At 40.6% G+C, this 23,899-nt stretch overlaps 1 protein-coding gene across 17 annotated transcripts in view, besides 2 other annotated features; it reads right to left on the bottom strand.

The window, feature by feature from the left end:
* Positions 1–23,899, bottom strand: part of REPS2 (RALBP1 associated Eps domain containing 2) — a 249,998-nt gene that overhangs the window by 158,392 nt on the left and 67,707 nt on the right. For 10 of the 17 annotated variants that reach the window (XM_017029956.3, XM_011545603.3, XM_011545606.3 and 7 more), the window contains exons 3-5: positions 15,993–16,141; positions 13,079–13,205; positions 8,641–8,738 (exon numbers count right to left, since the gene is read on the bottom strand). In XM_017029956.3, the coding sequence (XP_016885445.1) occupies positions 8,641–8,738; positions 13,079–13,205; positions 15,993–16,141 (374 nt within the window). The remainder of the gene's footprint in view (positions 1–8,640; positions 8,739–13,078; positions 13,206–15,992; positions 16,142–23,899) is intronic. The other 7 variants (XM_011545604.3, XM_024452479.2, XM_017029955.2 and 4 more) reach the window with 2 other exon arrangements.
* Positions 11,413–11,671: a silencer, noted in NCBI's record as "fragment chrX:17044716-17044974 (GRCh37/hg19 assembly coordinates)". NCBI's record gives its function as "represses an EF-1alpha promoter that drives an FKBP-Casp9 reporter gene in an ReSE screen in HepG2 liver carcinoma cells {active_cell/tissue: HepG2}" and the evidence as "EXISTENCE:reporter gene assay evidence [ECO:0000049][PMID:32094911]".
* Positions 15,952–16,152: a silencer, noted in NCBI's record as "peak7360 fragment used in MPRA reporter construct". NCBI's record gives its function as "represses an SCP1 promoter by STARR-seq MPRAs in K562 erythroleukemia cells {active_cell/tissue: K562}" and the evidence as "EXISTENCE:reporter gene assay evidence [ECO:0000049][PMID:32103011]".

Here is a 23,899-nt window from a genome sequence, read left to right as displayed (position 1 = left end):
AGCTATAGGCTGGATTCCTTTGCTACATGGTACCATGTTTTAAGGCCTTTAGGGCAATTGTCAGTTTTTAATTCCACATGCATAGGTGGGATCATTTGATTCAAATCTATCTCCTCCTTTTGACTGCAAGCACCTAGAGAGCAAGAGGCTATAGGTGTACTCCTCAGTGTACCCCTGGCATGGTGGCTGACTCATGGAAGCCACTTAAGTATTTCCAAATGGACAAATGGAAGATGTAATAATACCTACCTTGTGAGATTGTTGGGAGGACTGAAAAGGGCCAGCACAGCACTGGGACCAAAGAAGCACCTCAGTCAGTAGTGACTATTGTTGGGATAGGCAACTGGGGGGGCATGACACTCCCTGCTCGCCTGAGATCAAGGGAAAGACTGATGGGCCCAGGGGCTAAAATGGTGCCAGTTGTAAAGAAGTCTTCCATATCCATAGCCTGGCATATAACTGAGACCAAAAGGTCCTGGGGAATAAGCTACTATCCTTTCCAGATTTACAAAGTACTGCCTGGAACCAGCAGTTCAAACCAGTGTTTTCAGCTACCTCTGGGAGGCTAAATTAACTAAACATCTCTTTTATTGTCAAGAAGTGTGGTACACAGTGAGCACCTGAGGAATACACTAAGAAACAGGTAGAGGCCGGGCATGGTGGCTCACGCCTGTAATCCTAGTACTTTGGGAGGCCAAGGCGGGTGAATCACTTGAGGTCAGGAGTTCAAGACCACCCTGGCCAACATGGTGAAACCCCGTCTCTACTAAAAGAAATATATACAAAAAATAGCCAGGCGCAGTGGCGCACGCCTGTAGTCCCAGCTACTCAGGAAGCTGAGGCAGGAGAATTGCTGGAGCCTGGGAGGCAGAGGTTGTAGTCAGCCAAGATCGCGCCACTGCACTCCAGCCTGGGCAACAGAGCGAGACTCCATCTCAATCAATCAATCAATCAATCAATGAAAAGAAAAGGAAAAAAGAAAAAAGAAACAAGTAGAAAAGATTGGCACTGAGAAAATAAACTTCAGTATCAGTTGAGATTAAATGTTTCCTTCCCCAAAAGTTAAGAGCTAGAAATCCTTCCTCAAAAGTTAAGGGCTAGAAAATCAGAAAGAGAACTACAAGCAGGTGAAGAAAATAAGTAAGCAGGAGACTGGAGGCTATGAAAAAATAGGACCTCCTTGTGGCAATAGTGTCCGTTCAGGTATATGTGGGTTCTATAGTAGACTCAGTGAAGTAGGACACCTGGAGGACATGTTAACCTTTGACCCCTTAGGAGATGGTATAAACGTCCAGCTGGGGTCTCAAATGAAACGAGGAATGAATTTGGTGAAAGAAGATCTCAAGAATAAGGCACATACATACCTAGAAAAGGCATCAAACTCACTCTTCCTAACACACACACACACACACACTTATACTCTCTCCCTCTATCTATCTTTATCTCTACCTCTATCTCCTCCTCCCACCCATTTCAGTGAAAGGAACATAATTTAGCTGTCTAAGCAATGCTGAGAGATCAACGCACACACACAGTGTTGACATTTACCATCTCTAACAACAGAGGATTTTTTTTTAGCCCTAATCTCTACCCATAAACTAAGTAATTCAACTTTACTGTCATGACCTTATAAACAAGAAATCTGCACTGCAGGCAGGCCTGGGGTTCTCCAGAACTGGGAAGCAGCTGGGGTCCATAACCTCCTTCGAGAGCCTCAGGTGCCAGCATCTCCTCTCACCACTCAGGGAGAAATCTTCCACACACACTCCAGTATATCTCTGGTCCAAAGGAAAAGACAGACCAGCTTCTGGTTTCATGCCATTAAGAATGACAAACCAATACTCAAAAGAAAAAGGGGCACTTGATATGAATCAACAGTTCACAGAAAAGGAAATACAAGTGACTCATAAACTTAAGATATTTCACTTCACTAATAAAGAGATATGCTAATTAAACTACAGTGAGCTATCATTTTTCACCTATCAGATTGGCAAAGACCCATAAATTTGTTAGCACATTGTTTTCACAAAGGTACGAGAAAACAGACATTTTCATATATTGTTGGCAAGTACATAGGCTGCTATACCTCCAATTTGAAAGTCGTTATCAAAAATTACAAATATATAGGCATTTTCACCCAATAATTCAATTTCTAGGAATTGGTCTCCCATATATCTGCAAACAACGCAGTGATTGCAAGTACAAGATGTCAATCAAAAGGGGCTGGCTAAATGATTTACACAAGACGCAGACAAGGAAATACTATGCATCTGTAAAAAACAAAAAGATGAGGAAGTACTTTATGTGCTGCTATAGAACGTTAATAAAGCTTATTGTTAGTGCTAAATGCATGTTAGATGTATAGTATGCCACCATATGTGTAAAAAAGCATAACTGTGTTTTGCATATATTACATGTAATTATATATAATACCTATTTTCACTTGTATATAAAAAAGATATTCATATACAATATTATATAAATGTTTTGTATAGTACTATACAAAATAAATGGGTCATATCAGTTGCCCCTGGGATGAGTGGCTGTGCGGGGAAATGGTAGGGACAGTTTTCACTGTGCCCTTTTGTATCTGTTGAATGTTTGACATATTTTTAAAATCTGTATTTGCTCTGAAGAACAAGTGTGTTTGAGAGCTCACACACGTTCGTATGAACACTTACTTACCAAGTAATGCCTTGGTAAATAATTCTTGAACCCCAAAAGAATCCGGGCGGGCCTGACCTGCTCTGTGGGTCAATTCCCTGGGCTGAGTATTAGGTTAGACAACCAGAGTAGCCAAGACAGTACCCAGTATGCCCCGCTTGTTTACCTGCTTCACTCTTCTTCCAAACTCAGATGACCAACTCTCTCATGACTCAACTCTAACCCACCTCACTCAATCCCATCCCAAACCATCAGTCATTCTCACTCCTCCGCTCTCCTTATCCTGCTTGCATCCTGGTCCAGTCTACCCATAAAATATCTTTCATGCCACAAGAAGATCTCTCGGTGCAATATCAGCCTCCCCCAAAGGCTATTTCCTGCTGTTTTCATCAAAGCTCTTAGAATGAACAATTTATTTGTGGTGACTATCAATTATCTTTTGACTCAGGCCAACACCACTCTGACAGAGCCTCAGGAATATTCATTTCTTTAATCATCTTTCATATACTTGCCTTTTCTCTTGGGTTCCAAGAGGACCCAAGGAGTGGAGATCACCTGCTTCTGGCCGTAAGTACCTGCAGTTATATCTAGGGGAGGAGGTACGGCAAGAAACTGAGATGAGGAGGAAAGGAGATAACTAAGTTAAATAAACATTTTTCAAGTTATGCACTTCGAGATGAATATGGTGCTGGCTAACAATGCCTAACATCCCCTCCCCTACCTGATCATTAGAAAACTTACACCAAAAATATAGCTAAGCCCCCTGAGGAATGGTAGAGTAATAGAGGTATCTAAATTCTGTTTGTCATTTTTTCATCTCTGAAGAAGAGTAGTGAGTGTTGAGAATATGTTCTAGAAAACTGTTACTTTCATCCCTCCAAAAAGCAAAGAAAACATCACAACAGTATCCTGAGGGTTTGAAAAGTGAATGTGTTTTGGTTTTAAATAAAAGATAATTTTTTCTAGTGCAATCTAGCTGGAAGAATATATTCATTTGCCAAACATGTCTCCCTAAATTCAGGTAAAAATATATTGCACCACTTTGGGAGTCCGAGGCGGGCAGATCACCTGAGGTCAGGAGTTCAAGACCAGCCTGACCAACATGGAGAAACCCCGTCTCTAATAAAAATACAAAATTAGCTGGGCATGGTGGAGAATGCCTGTAATCCCAGCTACTCGGGAGGCTGAGGCAGGAGAATCGCTTGGACCCAGGAGGTGGAGGTTGCAGTGAGCCAAGATGGTGCCATTGTACTCCAGCCTGGGCAACAAGAGCAAAACTCCGTCTAAAAAAATAAATAAATATATAAATACATATAGTGCATACACACACATATTAATATATATGAATACCTATATTTGCATGTACATGCGTAAAATGTTCCTAGAATGATACAAAAGAAACAGGCAACCCTGGTTGCCTCTGAGATGGGAAACCAATAATGATCAGACGCCCATCCCTCTGGCTGAGTTGCACACATAAATGAGCTGACAAGCAATAGATCTTTTTCTTTTTAAGAATGAAAAAAAAAGGAAACATCGCATATACAAGAAAATATCAGAAAACACTTACGTTTCACGTTCTTAATGGGGAAAAAAGCATAGATGAATTGAGACAAAGGAGAAAACAAAGAAGGCAAAAGTGAGGGTGAAGAGTAAGGCTCCCACGCAGAGAACACTGACCATCCGGGAAATGGCCAGAGAGTGGAGGGAAAGCGGCAGTGAGCTGCTGTGGCCGAGGAGGTAGGCGAGGGCCAGACAGCAACATGGATGACATGTTAAGAGCCATGGGCAGAGAGGGACAGGCTTCAATCAAGTCAGCAGGATGATTAGATTTGTGTTTTTAAGATTGTTTTTGTGTGCAATGAGAATAATGAATTGGAAGAAGGCAAGGGTGGAAGCAAGAAGAAACAAGAGAGAGGCTAATACAATACAATCAGTGAAAAGGATAATGGCCTGAACGAAGAAGTACAGAGGCATGGACAGACACAAGCTATTTGAAAAGTGGTATGGTCAGGACTTGGGGACTGAACAGGCATAAGGAGAGAAAGAGAAGTCAAAGACAATGACCAGCATTCTGGCCTGTGCTGATGGGTGGGTGGAGCTAGGAGTGGAAGAGTGAAAGCTGATTTTATGAGAAAGACATGTCAGCTGAAAGTGACAGTGGAACATTAGAGTGAAGATGTCTGGCAGATGGTGCTATGTGGTCATGAGCATCCACACATCTAAAGAGTAAGTAGAGTGAGAAGTAGGCCCAGCAGTCTCCAGCATAACAAGGGGAGGGCAGAGGAAGGAGGATTGAAACAAATGAGGCAGGGGCAGCCATAGAAGCATGAGGAAAACCAGGAGAGCAGGCATAATGGACACCAAATGATGAGAGCATTTCGAGAAGATGGTCAGTGTCCACAGCTGCCAAGGAGACAATAAAGACAACGGCTTAACATAAAGTTTCTCATGACCCTGGCAAAAACAGAGGCAGCTGAGAACAGTAGGAATAAAGCGTGCAATTCTAAATCTTTTGCCAGCAAAATTACAAATGACTACATCATCTAGATGTTGAGGGTAATTTGTGAAAAACAAACCACAAAACAACATCTAAACATATGATAACAGATGAAGCAGAAAATAAGTCTTATAATTTCTTTACAAAGCACTATCAATCATCTACCAACATAGGATATGCTTAGTGTCTGAAATTTCAAAGGGAAAAAAATCCAACACCCGAACAAAAGTGAAATTCCTAAAATAGTAAGCAAAAAGACAAATCATTCCAATGTTTAGGCACTGGATTGGCATAAGCACCTCTAAAATGCCAACACCATGGGTTGCAACAGCACTGGCTGGGAGTCCCTAAAGGCTTCCCCCAGGACCCAGAGGACATGCCCCCTTGTAATCAGGCAGGAAGAACTTGAATACAAGGCCAGAGAACTAGTTAGAAGAGAAAGAAGGTTGCCATCGGCACATCAACGTGACAACATGAGGGGGATTAGTCACCCCAGCCTAGGCCTAGCACCATGCCCAGTAAACATTAATCCCTTATCACCAAGAACCTTCACTTCAAATCCCCTCATCTACATGACTAATCCAGGTTGGCATTTTGCTTTCTGGAACACGGAGTCCAGCCAAACCAAGTTAACAGGCATAAGAAGGAAACCTAAGAACAGAGGAAAGAAAAACACACCAGCCATGAAAACCACAGACACATTAAGAGAATCGGACTGTTGCTGATTGTTACAATGGGCTGTTAAATCCATTCGAAGTCATTTGTATTACAGAAAAGAGAAGGAACTTGCCCAAGGTCACACAGAGTTTTGCTGGACTTGGGCGAGCACCTGTCTGGTTTTTTCTGCACTATACCATGAGACCTTCTGATAGCCAATTGCTGCCAAATACCTATGTCCAGCCTAAGCTCTCTCCCAAGCTCCAGACCCATGTAATCTACCAGTTCTTCAACAGCTTCTCTGGACTATCTCAAAACCTCAGTTCCTGACATCAAACACTGAACCTGTGATCTTTCCCCAGTGCCAGTATTTCATCTAGGGCTTCCTAGCTCAACAGGTGACACCACCATCTATCTGGTTCCTGAGCCAGAGACTGAGGAACCTTGACCAGTGTTTGAACTCCAGCCCTGCCACTTCCTAGCTGTGAACTTGGGCAAATTAAATAAGGTCTCTAAACCTCAGGTTCTGACATCTGAAAATGGGATAACAACACTAATTATTTCATAAGATAGCTGTGGGCACTGAAAGAGATAATGTTCATAAAATGGCAAACCCATAGGAAATGTCTTTGTATATGCGGTTCCCTCCATCTTGTCACCTTGCTCCCGCACTCCCACCCTGTCACCTGGATAACACCCATGTACCCTTATTCCAACTCGAATGTTGCTCCCCCACCAGAAGCCTTCTTTGATCAGCCCCTGCCCCTCAAGGCTAGGTCATACCCCATGCCCATTTTCATCCTTAAAGTACAGTGTAATTCCTACTGATATCCCATATCATAATTATACATTTACTTTGTGGTGGTTTGGTTAATGACCATCTCTCCAGTAGCTCCATGAGGGCAGAAACTGTTAGTGTTATACCTCATTTTTGTATTCTCAACACAGTGCCTGGCACTTAATAGGTGTTCACTAAATATTAGTTGAGTGAAGGGCTCATGAAGCATGTTTGTCAGCAGAAAAGGGAACATGGAGATTAGAAGAGAAGCCACAGGGTGCCAATCCAAATGAGCATCCATGCCCATGCCAGCCAGGGGCTAGGTAGAAAGGGTCTAGTGAGCCCAGTCACACTGCTGTAAAGCTCAGTATGCACTGGTAGTTTGACTATCATCCTAACCATTCAGGATCTGGCCTCTGTATTCCCAGGACACACTCTGTAGGAACCTACACAGCCACATTTTGGAGAGCTTAGGGATAAATCCCAGTCCTACTGATACCTTTTCTAACGTAAACCTCACTCCACAGTGGGTGTGATTCTCGTGTTTAAAGGCACATATTTTTGTACCACAGGATCTCTAAACACAGCCAACTACTACATCTGGAGCTCAGCTGAAGAAACAAATGTGTTTTCCAACTTGGGGATAAAACTGAGCTGTACTGGCCCTGGGAGCAAATGGCATATTGGTTCTCCAGTGTGGTATCAATAAGGGATTTTTCAAGAGTATTTTTTACTACACCCAACGTTTCTTTATGTAGCAACTCTAGAACCTAGCCTTCTTGTAATATGGGACTCTAATGTAGGACAAAGTAATGAAAGGAGCAGGTTTTGACATTGGACAGGCCTGGATTCAAATTCTGGCTCTGTCACTGACTAGTTATGAATGAAACCTTAAACCAGCTATTTGACCTCTCTCAACCACAGTCAACTCACTTATACTATTAGAAGCAGCAGTAACTAGATCTTATGGTTGTAGGAAGCATTAAATATAAAAAATAGCCTATGGCTAAATTATTATCTTTAAGAAATTATTTGTACACAGAGTCCCACCTTAGAAAATCAAGTTCTGCACCACATCTAACACAGTGCCCCATCCCCAGAAGGTATTCCATGAACCCCAGGACCTTCTTTAGACTTTGTTTATCCTATTCCAACCTAGCAGCCCACATCTTTATGGGAGTGTCTGACACCACCCTTCTATTCTGAGTAGAAGTGCCTGTGCAAAAATGTTCCTTATTCCCGAGTTAGATGACTGAAATGTTATACAAACTGCCCCACTTCCTCTTTAGTGTCAAATAGTAAACCTGCACACCCGCGCGTGCACACACACACACACACACACACACACACCCTTCTTTGAGAATATAACTTCCCCAGCACAGGACCCAGAGACACTACACAAGGCAACAGCTGCAGACAGAGAACAAAATAAGAGCTCTTTATCCAAAGGAAAACACTGCAGAAAGGGAAGCTGAAATTGTCTAAGCTGTGGTATAGCCAGAAGCTTTTGCCATAATATTTCTTTTGTATTTATTACATAAGGAAACAGCAGCTGCTGCCATTGTACAATAACTGTTCTCTTGGTCTAGGCACTGAGAGAGAATACAGAACTACTTCTGCCTTCCAAAAGTTTACCATGTAATTAGAGGCACAAAACAAATGGAAAACAGTTAACTATGCATTAAATGAGTAATAATAAAGAATAAGGCAGAGACAAGATGGGCTGCTTTAGAAAAAGTGAAGCTCTCCTGAAAGTGGTGGCTAATGATTAGATAGGTGAAGGCAGAGGGACATTTTAGATATACTAAAGATCAAGAAGCAGCCTAGTTTATTCTAGAGACACTGAGAAGGCGTAGAGACATACACAGTAGAAAAGATTTAGTAATTTATACAAGCAACCAAACAAGACATGCAATATTTGCATGAAGGATCAGTTTTATATCTTCCTTGCAATGAAAAAGGGTCCATCAAAAAGCCATGTCCCCGAAGCCCAAAGCTTGACTCTACTGTCCCATTGGCATAACCCTGCATCATCACTTACCCGGATAAGGGAAGCCTGATGCCGAAGGGGCTTGGTTCCTGGGCCCCCTGATGAGGATCCCTCGGGCTGGACAAGGGGCTGCCTAGCTTCATAAGGTGCTGAAACAGCAGAAAGGAAAGTCAGTATGGTATGCAAAGATTCCATTCAAAAATTATGACTTCACATTCAAACTGATACAGCATCTGCTTTTCAGGAAAGAACTGGCAACAGAATACTCATAGGGCCATCTAGGACTGACAACCCCTGATTCTCTTTGGCACAATTTCACTAAACAATCTAAAGACATTCAACCAATTCATGATAAGCAGAAAAATATTTACACTGGGTTATGATTAGGAATAAATTGTGAAGGTGGAACAGTGAGAACTTCAATTGGGATAGAAAGCAACAATAGCTAGAAAAGTGTCATAAGTGTTCAAATTCTAAATATGAGGTAAATTCTATATATCCCCCCTAAGTAAATGTCTTCCATTGATCATCCACTTCCCCAAGAAGAAAACTAATGTGCATTTTGAACACTAAGAACCAACATTATTTTTGAAAAATAAATCAAACAGAATGTAAAATCATGTAGAGAAGACTACGAAAATGAATAAATATATTTTATATTTATTATTCTACTATTCAATAACCAAACTTTTAAAAAACAATTTTGCTGCCTTTAAAATAACTTTTTAAGCCACAAAAATGAATGTATGTTTTCACTCCTTTTATTTCCAGAAGACTTAATAATGACCTTACCAATATGGCAGGGAGACAGTTAAACATAACCAGGTAGTATGCAGCTCCAACAGAAAGCAGAAATTATCACCCAAGTTGAAATTCTTTCTCATCTCTATAGGTTAATAGTTCAAGTTTTTGAAAATATATAAATAAGTAAAATGTTTTATTTCTGTAGCTTACTTACAAATAAAATTAGGTAGAGAGCAGAGCAGCCTGTTATGACCTCATGTTTAACATAGTTTGCTCTTTTTAAAATAAAGAAGGTACAACAATAGCACATCAAGAATGATAAATCACTCTTGGGCTCACATCTGCTTTTTGTATTTCTTCCTAGTAACTGGAACACAATGTTACAATACATTAACACACATTAAAATAGCAAAACAATTGCCTGGCAACCCATCAAGTAGATTTTCAGAACCTGCTAAGAATGAATACAGATATAAAAACTGCAAAACATACATACATAGAGAGCACATAATCCAAATTTTAAAAAGTAAGTCTCAGCTGGTAGGCCACCATTGTCTTCTGAGAAGTAGGATTTTTAAAATCATTCTGTGTTGATGGAGCACTGAATTAAATCACTAATACCAATTGCGCTCTGCCAAAAGGTTTGAAACACAGTGAACTGTGGCATGGTTGGGGTGCTAGCAGTCATGAGCTTTCCTTAGGAAGTGAATCCCACGTGCCTCTGCTTCCCATAAGAGCTTCTACTTCTACTTCCAGGGGAGACACATGGGGGAACAGGCCACCATCTGGCCCTTGGCTTCTATCCCTCACCTACAAGGGCCTTCCCTTGGAAGAGACAGACCTATCTCATCAGTAGGGCTTGGATGAAGACTCAGCTGCATGGGGGGCCTTTTTTGGAGAGGCAGATTTTCTCTTCCTACTTGTGTGGGAAATCTGGGATGGCCAAGCCTGCCTGTGACTGGAAAGGTGAGTGTCTAAAGCCCATCTGGTCACAAATCTAAGACATGTGCTCTGATCAGCTATATCAGTAATAAAGCTGATATTCAGGCCATCAATTGTCTGACTTCTGGCTCCTTCCTTAATTGGATCTGAATTCAGAAGGTTAAAAAGTAGCTATTACTCAACTCTCTTTCTTCCCAAATGAAACCCCAAACATGCAATACAGTGCAAAACAAATAATTCTTTGATCCCCTTACAAGAGGTTTAATAAGAACTGGAAGTACCATCTTTCTCCAAGGGGAGGTGTACAAAAAAAAAAAAAAAAAAAAAAACCTAAAGATTTCATCACTCTGAAGTTCAGTGTCAAACCAGAACTCTTTGGCAGTTTCATATACAACTACCCTAAAACTGAGTGACTCTATTCCTAGGAGCCAGGGAAATGACAGCATATGTCACAGAAGGACTCATACATGAATGTTCATAGTATCCTTATTCATAATAGCCAAACACTGGAAACAACTCAAATGTCCAGCACCAGGAGAACAGATCGTCGAACTGTGATGCATTCACACAATATATCCCACTACTAAATAATAAAAAGGAATGAACTACTGATACAACAATACAGATAAATTTCAACCATTATGCTGAAGGAAAGATGGCAAACACATATGAGTACAGTCAGTCATTCTGTGTGTTTTCATTCATATGAAGTTCTAGAAGAAGCAAAACTAATGATGGTGATGAAAATCAGAACAGTGATTGCGTTAGGGGGCAGGGAGTGACCGGAGAGGGTCATCTCTGGCATAATGGATATGTTCAATTACTGATCAAAGTGGTAGCTACAAGGGCCTATCCATTTGCTAAAACTCAAATTGAAGATTTAAAACATGTGCATGGCCAGGCATTGTGGCTCACACCTGTAATCCCAGTACTTTGGGAGGACAAGGAGAGCGGATCGCTTGAGTCCAGGGGTTCGAGACCAGCCTGGGCAACATGGCGAAATCCCATCTCTACAAAAAAATACAAAAAGAAAATTAGCCCGGTGTGGTGGCACATGTCTGTAATCCCACCAACTCAGGAGGCTGAGGTGGGAGGATCACCTAAACCTAGGAGATCAAGGCTACAGTGAGCCATGATCGCGCCAGTGCACTCCAGCCTGAGTGACAAAGTGAGAACCTGTCTCAAAAATGAACAAATAAAACGGGTACATTTTATCATATGTATATTTTACCTCACTTTTAAAAAAGTATGAAAAGAAATGAAGGCATGGACAGCTTTGGCACAGGCTGCTGAGAGTCAAGAAAGATGGAGAGAAGCAAGCTGCTTCCTTACCACTGGGGAAATGGAAGCCCAATTTGTATGGAATGAGGAGGGAATGGGGCATTAAGGAGGAGGAACAGAAAAGTTTTCTAAGGAATACCAAAGGTAGAACTTGCTGACAGGCTGACTCAGTAGAACAAAAAGTTTCACCTGTGAATTAAAAACCAACTTCCAAACCCAAGTAAGATTAGAAATAGGAAAAAAAAAAAAAAAACCCACTCCTGAAAATAGGGAAATCAGATCAGGGAAACTATAAGAGGAAAATGAAGAATTCTCAACTCCATTTAGTTTCTAACCCCACTGAGATATTCAAGTTACAGGACAGTGATTTTTTTGTTACTATCCATTAGCAACATCATCTTGCATGTGCATAGGACTTAATTTCCAAACAGATTTTATACTCACATTCTCACTTAATCTTCTAATACCCCTCTAGGATACTGTTACTCCATTTTAAGAGAGAAGAGGTAATCGTGGTTCAGAGATGTTCAATGGCCTGCCCAAAGTCCTACAGCTAGTCACAGAAACCCACACACCTTCTGCTTCCAATCAAAAGCTATTGCCATTATGCCACGCCTGCTTCTCTCTGCAAGATTACAGCCTCTCTTTATTCAGCCTAGCGCGCAGTTTTATTTCTGTGTCCCTCTAAAAGTCACCACTATTTTTAATGCAGTAAAAACCTGCAGAAACTGGGTCATTTGGGGCCACAGCCCACAAAACAAAACTGGGGGGGTGGGGGTTTACAGATATCCAGTTCTAGAATACCTTTAATTGGTCATATCTTAAACTAGGAGTCTGAACCCCAGGAGGCACAAGATGCTGCAGTGAATTTCCAGTGCTTTAGGCACTGCAGCCTAAACAGCCAACTCTGCAAGTCATCCTCAGAACTAACGTATTTTACCACCTAACGAGGCCAGCAGAGCATAAATGTGAGCAAGAAGGCAACCCCACAACTGTGCATGCTACATACCCCTCAGCAAAATGCTACCCCTAGCATTTCCTTTATCCTTATTCCAAAGCACAGGACCTATATATTTTCATTTACGTGCTCAGTCTTCAAAGGTTGGATCAACTCTTTTGCTTTTGCAGTTATATTTCTTAAGAAATTTCATTAAAGCAGTTACTATATAAATATCTTTGGTGTGCTTACAGAAAGGAATAACAATTCCAAAAAAAATACAAGCCCTTAATATGGTATGTTCTATTCAATAAAATCTGTATATGAAAGATTAAATCATCTAGCTGTTTACAAGTCTAAAGACGAACTAGTTTCTAGGACAGGAGATGAAACATTACTCAAATATGTTTAAATCAATTTTTAAAAAAAAACCTTGCTTGAGAATATAAAATTAAATTGAGCCATGTTTCCAAAGACAGGGGTAATTAAATCAGGAAATTAAGCAGCTTGAAGCGTTACCGCCTGGTAAATTAAGGAGTCTCTAAGACACTGCCTGGGACAGCTGGCCCCCAGGTCGCCTCTTACCTGGATGCATCTGTTCTGCGCTGCTCCGCAGTTTGCTGTAGCCATGGCTCAAGGGCACCCTCTGGTAATGAGGCGGGGAAGAAGGAGGGGAGGCGAGGGGTGACATCGTGGGAGACTGTGTTTCCTGCTTCAAAGAACCAGATCAGAGTTCAGAGGCGCTCACTCAAGCCTGGCGTTCTGAGCTGCAGTCAGGAAGCATAACGCAACTCTACTGCTGGTGACCCAGCTGGTTTAACAAATGGGGGGAAATGTTTTCTCAAAAATGCAGCATGGTTAAACAGCAGTGTCTGAGGATTCAAAAAGTCTCCCAGAGAATAAAATCTCATCAGTGCTGAGTTACCTAAATTACTAAAACCAGCCTGAAACACTTTTGGTTATTCCAATAATATTTTCCTTTGGAAAATGAAAGACACTGATCACATGAAATAACATTCATACCCGCTCCCAATTGTGATCTCTCTGTGGATAGATTTCATTTTCATTCATTAATAAATTTATTTCCTGGATTTATACTTATCAAGTCTTCCAGCAAATGTGAATATTAAAATATATATTTCTAAATGCTTAATACTTAATATTCTTGGAGCTTACCATGTCAAAGTAAAATGCTAGCTTTTTTTTTTTAACAATGAGAGACTGCAAAACAATTCATTATAGGTAAACCATTCCAACCAGCTTACTCCCAAACACTAAGATGAAATCTTAACAAGCTACAATTTGAATCTCAATTCAAATATGAACCTGATGTAGAACCCTAGGCAAAGTAAGCAACCTTATCTGCTGCTGAGTTTCCTCTTTAAAAAAAAAAAAAAAAAAAAAAAACTTTACTAGTAGACTGGTAACTTTGGAGTATTCAAGTACCAAGAAAACAGTGCTTTTTTTTGTTTGTTTGTTTGTTTGAGACAGGGTCTCGCTCTGTCACCCAGGCTGGGGCACAGTGGCGTGATCATAGCTCACTGCAGCCTTGACTTCCTGGGCTCAAGCAATCCTCCCACCTCAGCACCCCCAGTAGCTACTACAGGCATGCGCCACCACACACAGCTAATTTTTTTTTTTTTTTTTTGAAATGAGGTCTTGCTATGTTGCCCAGGCTGGTCTTGAATTCTTGGGCTCAAGCAATCCTCCTGCTTCGGCCTCCCCAACTGCTGGGATTACAGGCATGAGCCACTACACCCAGCCAAAACAATGCTTTCTATCAACACACAGACTATATATATAGGCTCCCTTAGTCTAAAGAGAAATATGTAATCTGAAATACTGATCAAATACTCTTCTTCAAGAAAAAGCAAAATATGTTTGCTCTAAAGCATGAGCTCACACCCATAGATTGGGTGGGGCATGCATAAACTCAGCCTGAAGTGAAAGGATGTATTCTCATTCACACAATCAGGGACTGGGCCTGGAAATTTCCCAGGGCATCAACCACCGTGGGACAGTGGACCCTCATTCCTCTCCAAATGCTGGTGGGAAAATATGCCAAAGAATATTGACTGAAAATTCCTATACCTCTTCCTTTTTAAATATATCCCTGAAGAACTGATTTAAAATGTGTCAGAATTATGAAAGTGACAGTACATGGAATTGTTTAACAGGATGTGCTACACCTCCCCTAACTATCCATATAAAACTTCTGTAGCAACACCTCATCTACACAACATCACAGGGTAAGTCACAGAAGTTAGTTTTCCAACATAATCATTTAATATTCATTGCATTTTAAAAACATTTTCATTCGAGTGTTCCTTTTTTTTTTTTTTTGAGACACAGTCTTGCTCTGTGGCCCAGGCTGGAGTGCAGTGATGTGATCTCGGCTCACTGCAATCTCCGCCTCCCGGATTCAAGCCATTCTCCTGCCTCAGCCTTCCAAGTAGCTGGGACTACAGGCACATGCCACCACGCCCGGCTAATTTTTGTATTTCTAGTAGAGACAGGGTTTTGCCATGTTGGCCAGGCTGCTCTTGAACTCCTGACCTCTTGTGATCCACCCGCCTTGGCCTCCCAAAGTGCTGGGATTACAGGCGTGAGCCACCGTGCCCAGCCTCAAGTGTTCCTATAATAAATTTCTTTACCTTATAGAAGACACTATGTTGAACATAATTTGACTTCTCTGCATGATTCAGTATCTTTGCTGGAAGTATGAGCTATACCTTGATGCCTGCAGGGTACACCAATGTGTAGACTATTTACTTCTTCTGGATCTGCCCACTCTTCTGAGATTTTATACTGTTGTCTCCACCAATCATCATCTGACCATTGCAATTAGTGGTCTAATTTTAAAAGCCTATCCTCCCTGTTCTGGTTCCAAACCTGCTAAATGGGTAATGGCAGCATTTCCCAAGATAGTATTCCAAATATGTTCCCCAAGAAAGAATTTCCTGGTGAAAGAAGTTTAGTAAACACACATTTCCAGGTCTCTTCACTGCAGAACTTCTCAGGGCTTTTACCGTGCTAATGTGCACTACGAATTTCCAAGACTGAGGATTTAGTCCTTCCCTCAACAAGGGAATATGAAGCAGCATTCTCCAAACACATTTATTATAATAGGAGAAACCTTTTCTACAGACTTCTTTTTGGAGAAGAGAACCTATTAAAAACTCCTGGAAGTTACATTTCCAAGAATCCATTTAGAAAACCACTGAGCTAGTGAAATCAATAAATGTATTAAATCGGTAGCCTTATTTTAGACACAATTCTACTTTAAAGTAGGCTCTAAAGGGCCCTTAAGTGGGTGGTGGTGATTCATATGTGTCGGTCTCTCTTTCTTGCTAGGAGAAAACTTTACTGGCTCACTTCCAAGTCTGTAATTGGGTTCCAGATGGTGAGATTTGCTGGAAGCTGAACAGTAGATACGAGGCCCTGCTACATGCGGTTTCATGGTCAGAATCAAATGAACACATCTGAACAAACTGTTTACCTGTTTATCCTCATCGTCCATTCTTTTGAAGGAATTTTTTTCTGTAGTTAAATATGGAATCTGAACCTTAGTTCCATGCAGCTCAGCTGGGTTCCCAAATCGTATCTCACCATCATTCTTTGACATCATAAAGCGAGGCAGAGGCAATTCTTTGGGACCAGAAATCAGAGAAGCTCTAGTCAGACTTAATTTAAAAACTGCAAAAAAGGGGAACTCAATGGCCAAACGATGAATCATTTTTGAGGAAAAATTCCAGAGCACTAAATATAAATTTAGATTTAGATACAATGAGTACTCCTATAATAACGTCCTGATTTTTAAAATGCTATGGTTTAACCAAAGTATTCTGGCTTAACATTTTTCAATGTTGCCAAATCGCAGAATAAATTCAGATTTGGGACTGATCTCCCATTTCATCCTTCAATAACCAAGAAAAAGGATATGACACTGTATAATACAATAATAAGTGACAAATGGTGGCAGGTAAAATTCATATAATGCTTAAATATGCCAGGCACAGTATTAAAGATTTGCAAATATTAACTCATTTAATCCTCACAACAACTCTGTATGATAAAACTATCATTACCACCCCCTCATTGCAAAAGTAGAAACAGTCATAAAGGAGCTAAGTAATGTCCCCAGGATCACACAACTCATCTGTGGCAGAGCCACGGTTTGAATGCAGGCAAGCTGGTACTTTACCAGTGCTCTACAGAATGGTCCCTTGTTCCTATGGCAAACTTAGTGGGTAGAACAGTTTCTCATCCTATGTAATTCTTTAAGGAATTTTCACATCCAATCTCTGGTTGTCTTTTCATAATGGAATAAGGAAAACAATATCAAGTCAGAGCAATCAATCTATCATTCAGCCACATTCTTCTGTCAAAACCATTAGCCACTCAAAATGCTACAAAGAGTTGAAAAGCAACGGTCTGGTATATTTACTCATCTTTCAAAATTCTAACAAAACTATTCTGAAAGCGGAAATGATACTTTGGCACACTTCTAGTTCTCAGCACATCAAATCACACACAATCACGTAGCACAAAACCCTACAAAAATGGGGACATTATGGATTATGCATAATGATTTGCATCTGTATCCATTGTTCAGGATAATACTCATCAGTGTGCCTTTGCACTTCCATCAGCTCTCTATTCCAAAAACACAGCTGCACTTTCAATGACTGATGCTGTGCTAAGGCCAGAAAACATCTTAGCAACAGCAAGCAAGTATCCTAGAGTTCCCCAGGCAAAGAAGGCCCCTGGTTCTCTAACATCCACATGATGTTTACTTTTAGTTGCTATGTTCACATTTGATTCAAAGCAGCAGGCGGCCGGGCGCAGTGGCTCACTTACGCCTATAATTCCAGCACTTTGGGAGGCGGAGGCGGGTGGACCTCCTGAGGTCAGGAGTTCGAAACTAACCTGGCCAACATGGTAAAACCCCGTCTCTACACAAAAATACCAAAAATTAGCCAGGCGTGGCGTCAGGCGCCTGTAATCCCAGCTACTCAGGAGGCTGAGGCAGGAGAATTGCTTAAACCCAGGAGGCGGAGGTTGCAGTGAGCCAAGATCATGCCATTGCACTCCAGCCTGGGCAACAAGAGCAAAATTCTGTACCAGAAAAAAAAAAAAGAAGCAGGCAATATGACAAATCCCTGTGTGATCAATCAGCCAAGGGCCCAAGAGACATAAATAGAGTAACCAATCTTAATGTTTCCCAATCTCGGGCAGCTCTCCAGCACTCAAAGCAGGAATGGGCTTCAAAAGCAAAAAAGCAAGAGAAAAGAAACTCTAGATTCTTAGTAAATCAAATATAAGCTAACTCTATGGTTTTGGTCTCAGGTATGTGCTCCAGCTCAGTCAGGAAAAAGGATCTAAAAAGATGAAACAAGATCACATAAAATAATTTGCACCCTGATCTACCCATAAGAGGATGACTCTACTTCCAAGTACTTCTTGAGGGAGAAAAGAAATAAATGCTCAGTATTTATAAGCTCCCTGACCAGTGCCTTACTGGCATTCAACAGATACCTCCAAGGAACAATGGAATACACTAACTGAATTATGAATATCAATTATTATATTAGGACTTAAGTAGGGCTCCCAGATATTGTCTAGGACATTGTCACTTCACACATTCTTCCACCCTGTCTATGGCATTTCTTTAGAGCTATGTGCCTAGAAAACCACCTCTCTCCCCCAGACAGCCACCAAACAGCAAAAGACAAAATACAGCTGAAGTTCTCTCATACTTTCTTTGGTCAGGTGGTTCCAAGCAACTCTCACTTAACAGAAGTATAACCATACATAATAATATTCTTATCATGGAAAACTTTCATGAAGGTGCCATTTCCCTTAAACTGATGCAAGCTTTTAAAAAGTGAAAGGTAAAAGTAGTTTGTAAATTTTCAGTCTGAATGTTTTTTTTGGTTTTTGTTTTTTTGAGACAAGGTCTGTCTCTCAGACTGAAGTGCAGTGGCACTAACATAGCTCATTGCAGCCTTGAACTCCCAGACTCAACTGATCCTCCTGCCTCAGCCTCCCAAGTAGCTGGGACTCCAGGTGCTTGCCACCATGCTGGCTAATTTCTTTTTTTATTTTTCGTAAAGATGGGGTCTTGCTATATTGCCCAGACAGGTCTCAAATTCCTGAGCTCAAGCGATCCTCCCGTCTTGGCCTCCTAAAGTGCTGGGATTACAGGCATGAGTCACCATACTCAACTGAATGTTTTTCCTAGTCACACATACACAAAATTTAATAGTGAAACTTTGAAAAAATTAATCAATAAAGTACCTGCTATACAATGATGTCTGTCAAGAAGAAGGTCTATTTGTAGTCATTGGTTAGAATCTTGTCTCCCAAACTGAATTGAATTACACACAGCAAACAAAGTAAGAGTTCACACTAAATGTTTAGAGGGTCTGAGGAGACAATGAGAGTGGCCATCCAAGATGACAATTTGCTTCATTGTTGTTTCATCTTAGGTTACATTCTTTGAACACAGAAATGCTTTGTATATTAAACATAAATGACTATTTTTCCCTTCCACAAAGAAAATTATGCCTGCTCCTTTTTAAACACTTGACCCTCTACAAGAGAGAAAAATCCTTTGTTTTTCCATATTTGATAGAGATACAGATATATTAGGAATACTTTAGGCTGGGAGTGGTGGCTCATGCCTGTAATCCCAGCACTTTGGGAGGCCGAGGTGGGAGGATCACTTGAGCCCAGCAGTTTGAGACCAGCCTGGACAACACAGTAAGACCCCTTCTCTTAAAAAAATAAAAATAAAAAATCAGCTGGGCATGGTGGCATATGCCTGTAGTCCCAGCTACTCAGGAGGCTGAGGCAGGAAGATCGCTTGAGTCTGAGAGTTCAAGGCTGCATCATGCCACTGCACTCCAGCCTGGGTGACAGTGAAACCCTGTCACTCAAAAAAGAAAAAAAAATACCTCAATTTCCTCAATCCATTAGAAAAAATGTAAACAGCATAAATGCAATAATAAATGGCAAGTGACATTGAGCCTCATTAGCTAGACAATATGGAGTGGAGGGTGCTGGGCAGAGAACTCATGTTCCATCAAAATGGCAGCAGCTGTTCACAGTCTTTCAATGTTATCTGCCAAAAAAGAATGTGAGCCACATTAAAAAAAAAAAAAAAGAAAGAAAGAAAGAAGTGAAACAAGCTGGTCACAAAAAGACAGGTACTGTGTGGTTTCACTTATATGAGGCATCAAGAGTAGCCAAACTCATAGAACCAGAAAGTAGATGGGCAGGCCAGGTGCAGTGGCTCACACTTGTAATCCCAGCACTTTGGGAGGCTGAGGTGGGCAGATCACTTGAGGCCAGGAGTTCAAGACTAGCCTGGCCAACATGACAAAACCCCATCTCTACTAAAAATACAAAAATTAGCTGGGTGTAGTGGTGCATGCGCCTGTAATCCCAGCTACTCGGGAGGCTGAGGCACAAGAATCTCTTGAGCCTGGGAGGCAGAGGTAGCAGTAAGCCATGATCACGTCACTGCACTCAAAAAAAAAAAAAAAAAAAAAAAGGCAGTTGCCAGGATCTGGGTAGGAAAAAGAAAATGGGAAGGTGTTTAATGAATACAGAGTTTCCATTTTGTAAGGTGAGGTGAAAAGGTTCTAGAAACTAGTTACCCAACAATGTGACTATATTTACACATTACTGAATTATACATTTAAAATGGTTAAGATGGGAAATGTTATTTGTATTTTATCACAATTAAAAATTTTCCATTTCAAAACATTTTTAATGGCAAAATTTTAATAATCTAATTTAACCCAATATTATCATTTCAACATGTAATCAACATTAAAAACTATTAATGAAATATTTTACATTTTTTTTCATATTAAGCCTTCAAACTCCCATGTATATTTTACCCTCCTTGCATACCTCAATTTGTGCTTGTCACATTTTATGTGCTCAACAGCCACATGCAGCTACTGGCTACCATACTGAAACAGCACAGCTCTAGTTGATAGTTGCTACATGGGAATGTGAGCCATTGTGGCCAGAAATCTGTATTTTACTGTATTTTATTATTATTACAATGTTAAATGTAAGCAACTAATTGATTTCTTTTTAAATTATGTAAAGAGTATTCTGTATGGTGGGATGATTTATAGGGAATTGTAAGTGTTCCACTTGAAGAATTTTGACAAATACATATATATATATATATATCCCTGTAACCAACACCCAAATTCCCAAATTAAGATACAGAATTTTCCTTCATGTTCATTTCCAGTAATCCCCTCCCTTTGTTCCACCGAGCAACCTCTGTACTAATTTCTATACTTGCAGATTATCTTTGCCATTATGGAACTTCATACATTGAATCATACAGTATTTGTTCTTGTGACAAGCTTTTTTTACGACCTTTTTGTCTGTGATAATCACCCAATGTATTGTACACATAGTTCATTCTTTTTCATTGCTATGGAGCAATCCACTTTTAAGAATATATTGAGCCAGGAGCAGTAGCTCACACCTGTGATCCCAGCACTTTGGGAGGCCGAGGTAGGTAGATTTCTTGAGCTCAGAAGTTCGAGACCAGTGTGGGCAACATGGCAAAACCCCATCTCTACAAAAAATACAAAAATTAGCCAGGCATGGTGGTGTACACCTATAGTCCCAGCTACTCAGGAGGCTGAGGTGGGAGGATGGCTTGAGCTTGGAAGGTGGAGGTTACAGTGAACTGAAACAGCACCATTACACTCCAGTCTAGGTGACAGAGCAAGACCCTAAAAGAATATATTGAAAATTTTAATCCATTATCCTGTGATAAACATTTGGGTTGTTTCCAGTGTGGGCCCATTGTAAATAAAGCTGCTGTGAAATTCTTATAAATGTTTTTTGATGGACATGAATTTATTTATCTTGGGTGTATACCTAAGAACCAAATCCAGTCTGCTGCCTATTTCTGTACATCCCGCAAGCACAATGTTTGAATATTTGCAAAAAAAAAAAAAAAAAAAAAGAAAAAAGAAAAATATTTCATGATGTGAAAATTATATTAAATTCAAATGTCAGGCCAGGCATAGTGGCTCACACCTGTAATCCCAGCACTTTGGGAGACCAAGATGGGTGGATCATTCGAGGTCAGGAGTTTGAGACTAGCCTGACCAACATGGTGAAACCCCATCTCTACTAAAATACAAAAATTAGCCAGGCGTGGTGGCACAGGCCTGTAGTCCCAGCTACTCAGGAGGCTGAAGCAGGAGAATAGCTTGAACACAGAAGGTGGAGGTGGCAGTGAGCTGAGATCGTGCCTCTGCAGCACTCCAGCCTGGGTGACAAGAGTGAGACTCTGTCTCAAAAATAAAAAATAAAAAAAATTAAAAATTCAAATTTCAGTGTTCATAAATAAAGTTTTATTAGCACACAGCCATGATCCTCTGATTACATGCTGTCCATGGCTACTTTCATACTACAACAGGGTTGAGTAGTTGTGACCAAAATCATACTGCCCACAAAGTCTATCTGACCCTTTAAAGTGGGCGAAGGATATGAACAGACACTTCTCAAAAGAAGACATTTACGCAGTCAAAAAACACATGAAAAAATGCTCATCATCACTGGCCATCAGAGAAATGCAAATCAAAACCACAGAGAGACACCATCTCACACCAGTTAGAATGGCGATCATCAAAAAGTCAGGAAACAACAGATGCTGGAGAGGATGTGGAGAAACAGGAACACTTTTACACTGTTGGTGGGACTGTAAACTAGTTCAATCATTGTGGAAGTCAGTGTGGCGATTCCTCAGGGATCTAGAACTAGAAATACCATTTGACCCAGCCATCCCATTACTGGGTATATACCCAAAGGATTATAAATCATGCTGCTATAAAGACACATGCACATGTGTGTTTATTGCGGCACTATTCACAATAGCAAAGACTTGGAACCAACCCAAATGTCCCACAATGATAGACTGGATTAAGAAAATGTGGCACATATACACCATGGAATACTATGCAGCCATAAAAAATGATGAGTTCATGTCCTTTGTAGGGACATGGATGAAGCTGGAAACCATCATTCTCCGCAAACTATTGCAAGGACAAAAAACCAAACACCGCATGTTCTCACTCATAGGTGGGAATTGAACAATGAGAACACATGGACACAGGAAGGGGAACATCACACACCGGGGACTGTTGTGGGGTGGGGGAAGGGGGGAGGGATAGTGTTAGGAGAAATACCTAATGTTAAATGACGAGTTAATGGGTGCAGCACACCAACATGGCACATGTATACATATGTAACAAACCTGCACGTTGTGCACATGTACCCTAAAACTTAAAGTATAATAATAATAAAATAAAATTTAAAAAAGAAGAAAAAAAAAGAAAAAGGTTGTTGACCCTTGTCTTACAGAATTTGATGGTTGAAGTGAAAAGTGGTCCTACTAAATCAATAAGGTTGCATTTAACAGAAAATATTTTACACTGTTTAAAACCTTTTATTTAAATCATTTAATGAAAAATTCAGTTTCTCAGTCACACTAGCCACACTGCCACACTTCAAGTGCTCAATAGCCACACATGGCAAGTGGCTACGATATTAAATAACAAAGTTGTAGATGCTTTTCTACAATGTTTGATAAGGGATTCCCTGATTTTGTGCTTACAACAAGTCTATAAGGCAGGTGTTATTGGTATACCTTTTCCTCCAGGGAGTCATTTGAAACAGAGAAATTAAGAAACTGGCCGGAGGCCACACAAATAAAAGGTAATGAAGGAAAGATTCATAATGAGGTAGCCTATTGCTAGGACCTACATTCCCAGCCACAAGGCTATACTACCATCCTGAACATTAAAATTCTTTCTAGTACAGATTTGAACATTTAGCATGAAACTGTGGCATTTCAGAAAATAATCTAGAGAAAACCTGCTCAAATGTCTGCATTTTGCAGGTGAGGAAATAAGCCCAGGAAAGAGAGAGCAAGACTTGCCTTAGTCATGCAGCAATACAGTGGCAGAGCTAAGACCGTAACAAAAATTCTTGACTCCTGACTGCTGGCTCCCTTCTCTCCCACTGCTTTTTGTTACCTATTCACTTATACCAGCTACTTATACGTTAACAAAGAATTATGACAATAATGTTCTATAATTCCAAAGTGAAACCATCCCTACACATTTTCCTGAAGTTACTTTGGGGGAAAACAAAAAACAAAACAAAAAAAAAAATCAGGCCAGTCTTATCAACCCAGGCCTGAGTAATCAAAGCTATCTAGTCTCCTATTATCCTCCTATCTGCCCATTGATCTGAAATACCTCTTGTCAATTAGGAAATGGGTAGGTAATCGCTAGATGGCGGGGTGGAGGTTACAATGGGAAGGGTGATCTTGTAAATGTTTGGCAGAGGAGG

Source organism: Homo sapiens, chromosome X (genome assembly GCF_000001405.40).
Source record: "Homo sapiens chromosome X, GRCh38.p14 Primary Assembly".
NCBI classification, from domain to species: domain Eukaryota; kingdom Metazoa; phylum Chordata; class Mammalia; order Primates; family Hominidae; genus Homo; species Homo sapiens.
The sequence above is the reverse complement of the archived record's forward strand: the minus strand, read 5'-3'. Positions and strand labels throughout refer to the sequence as shown.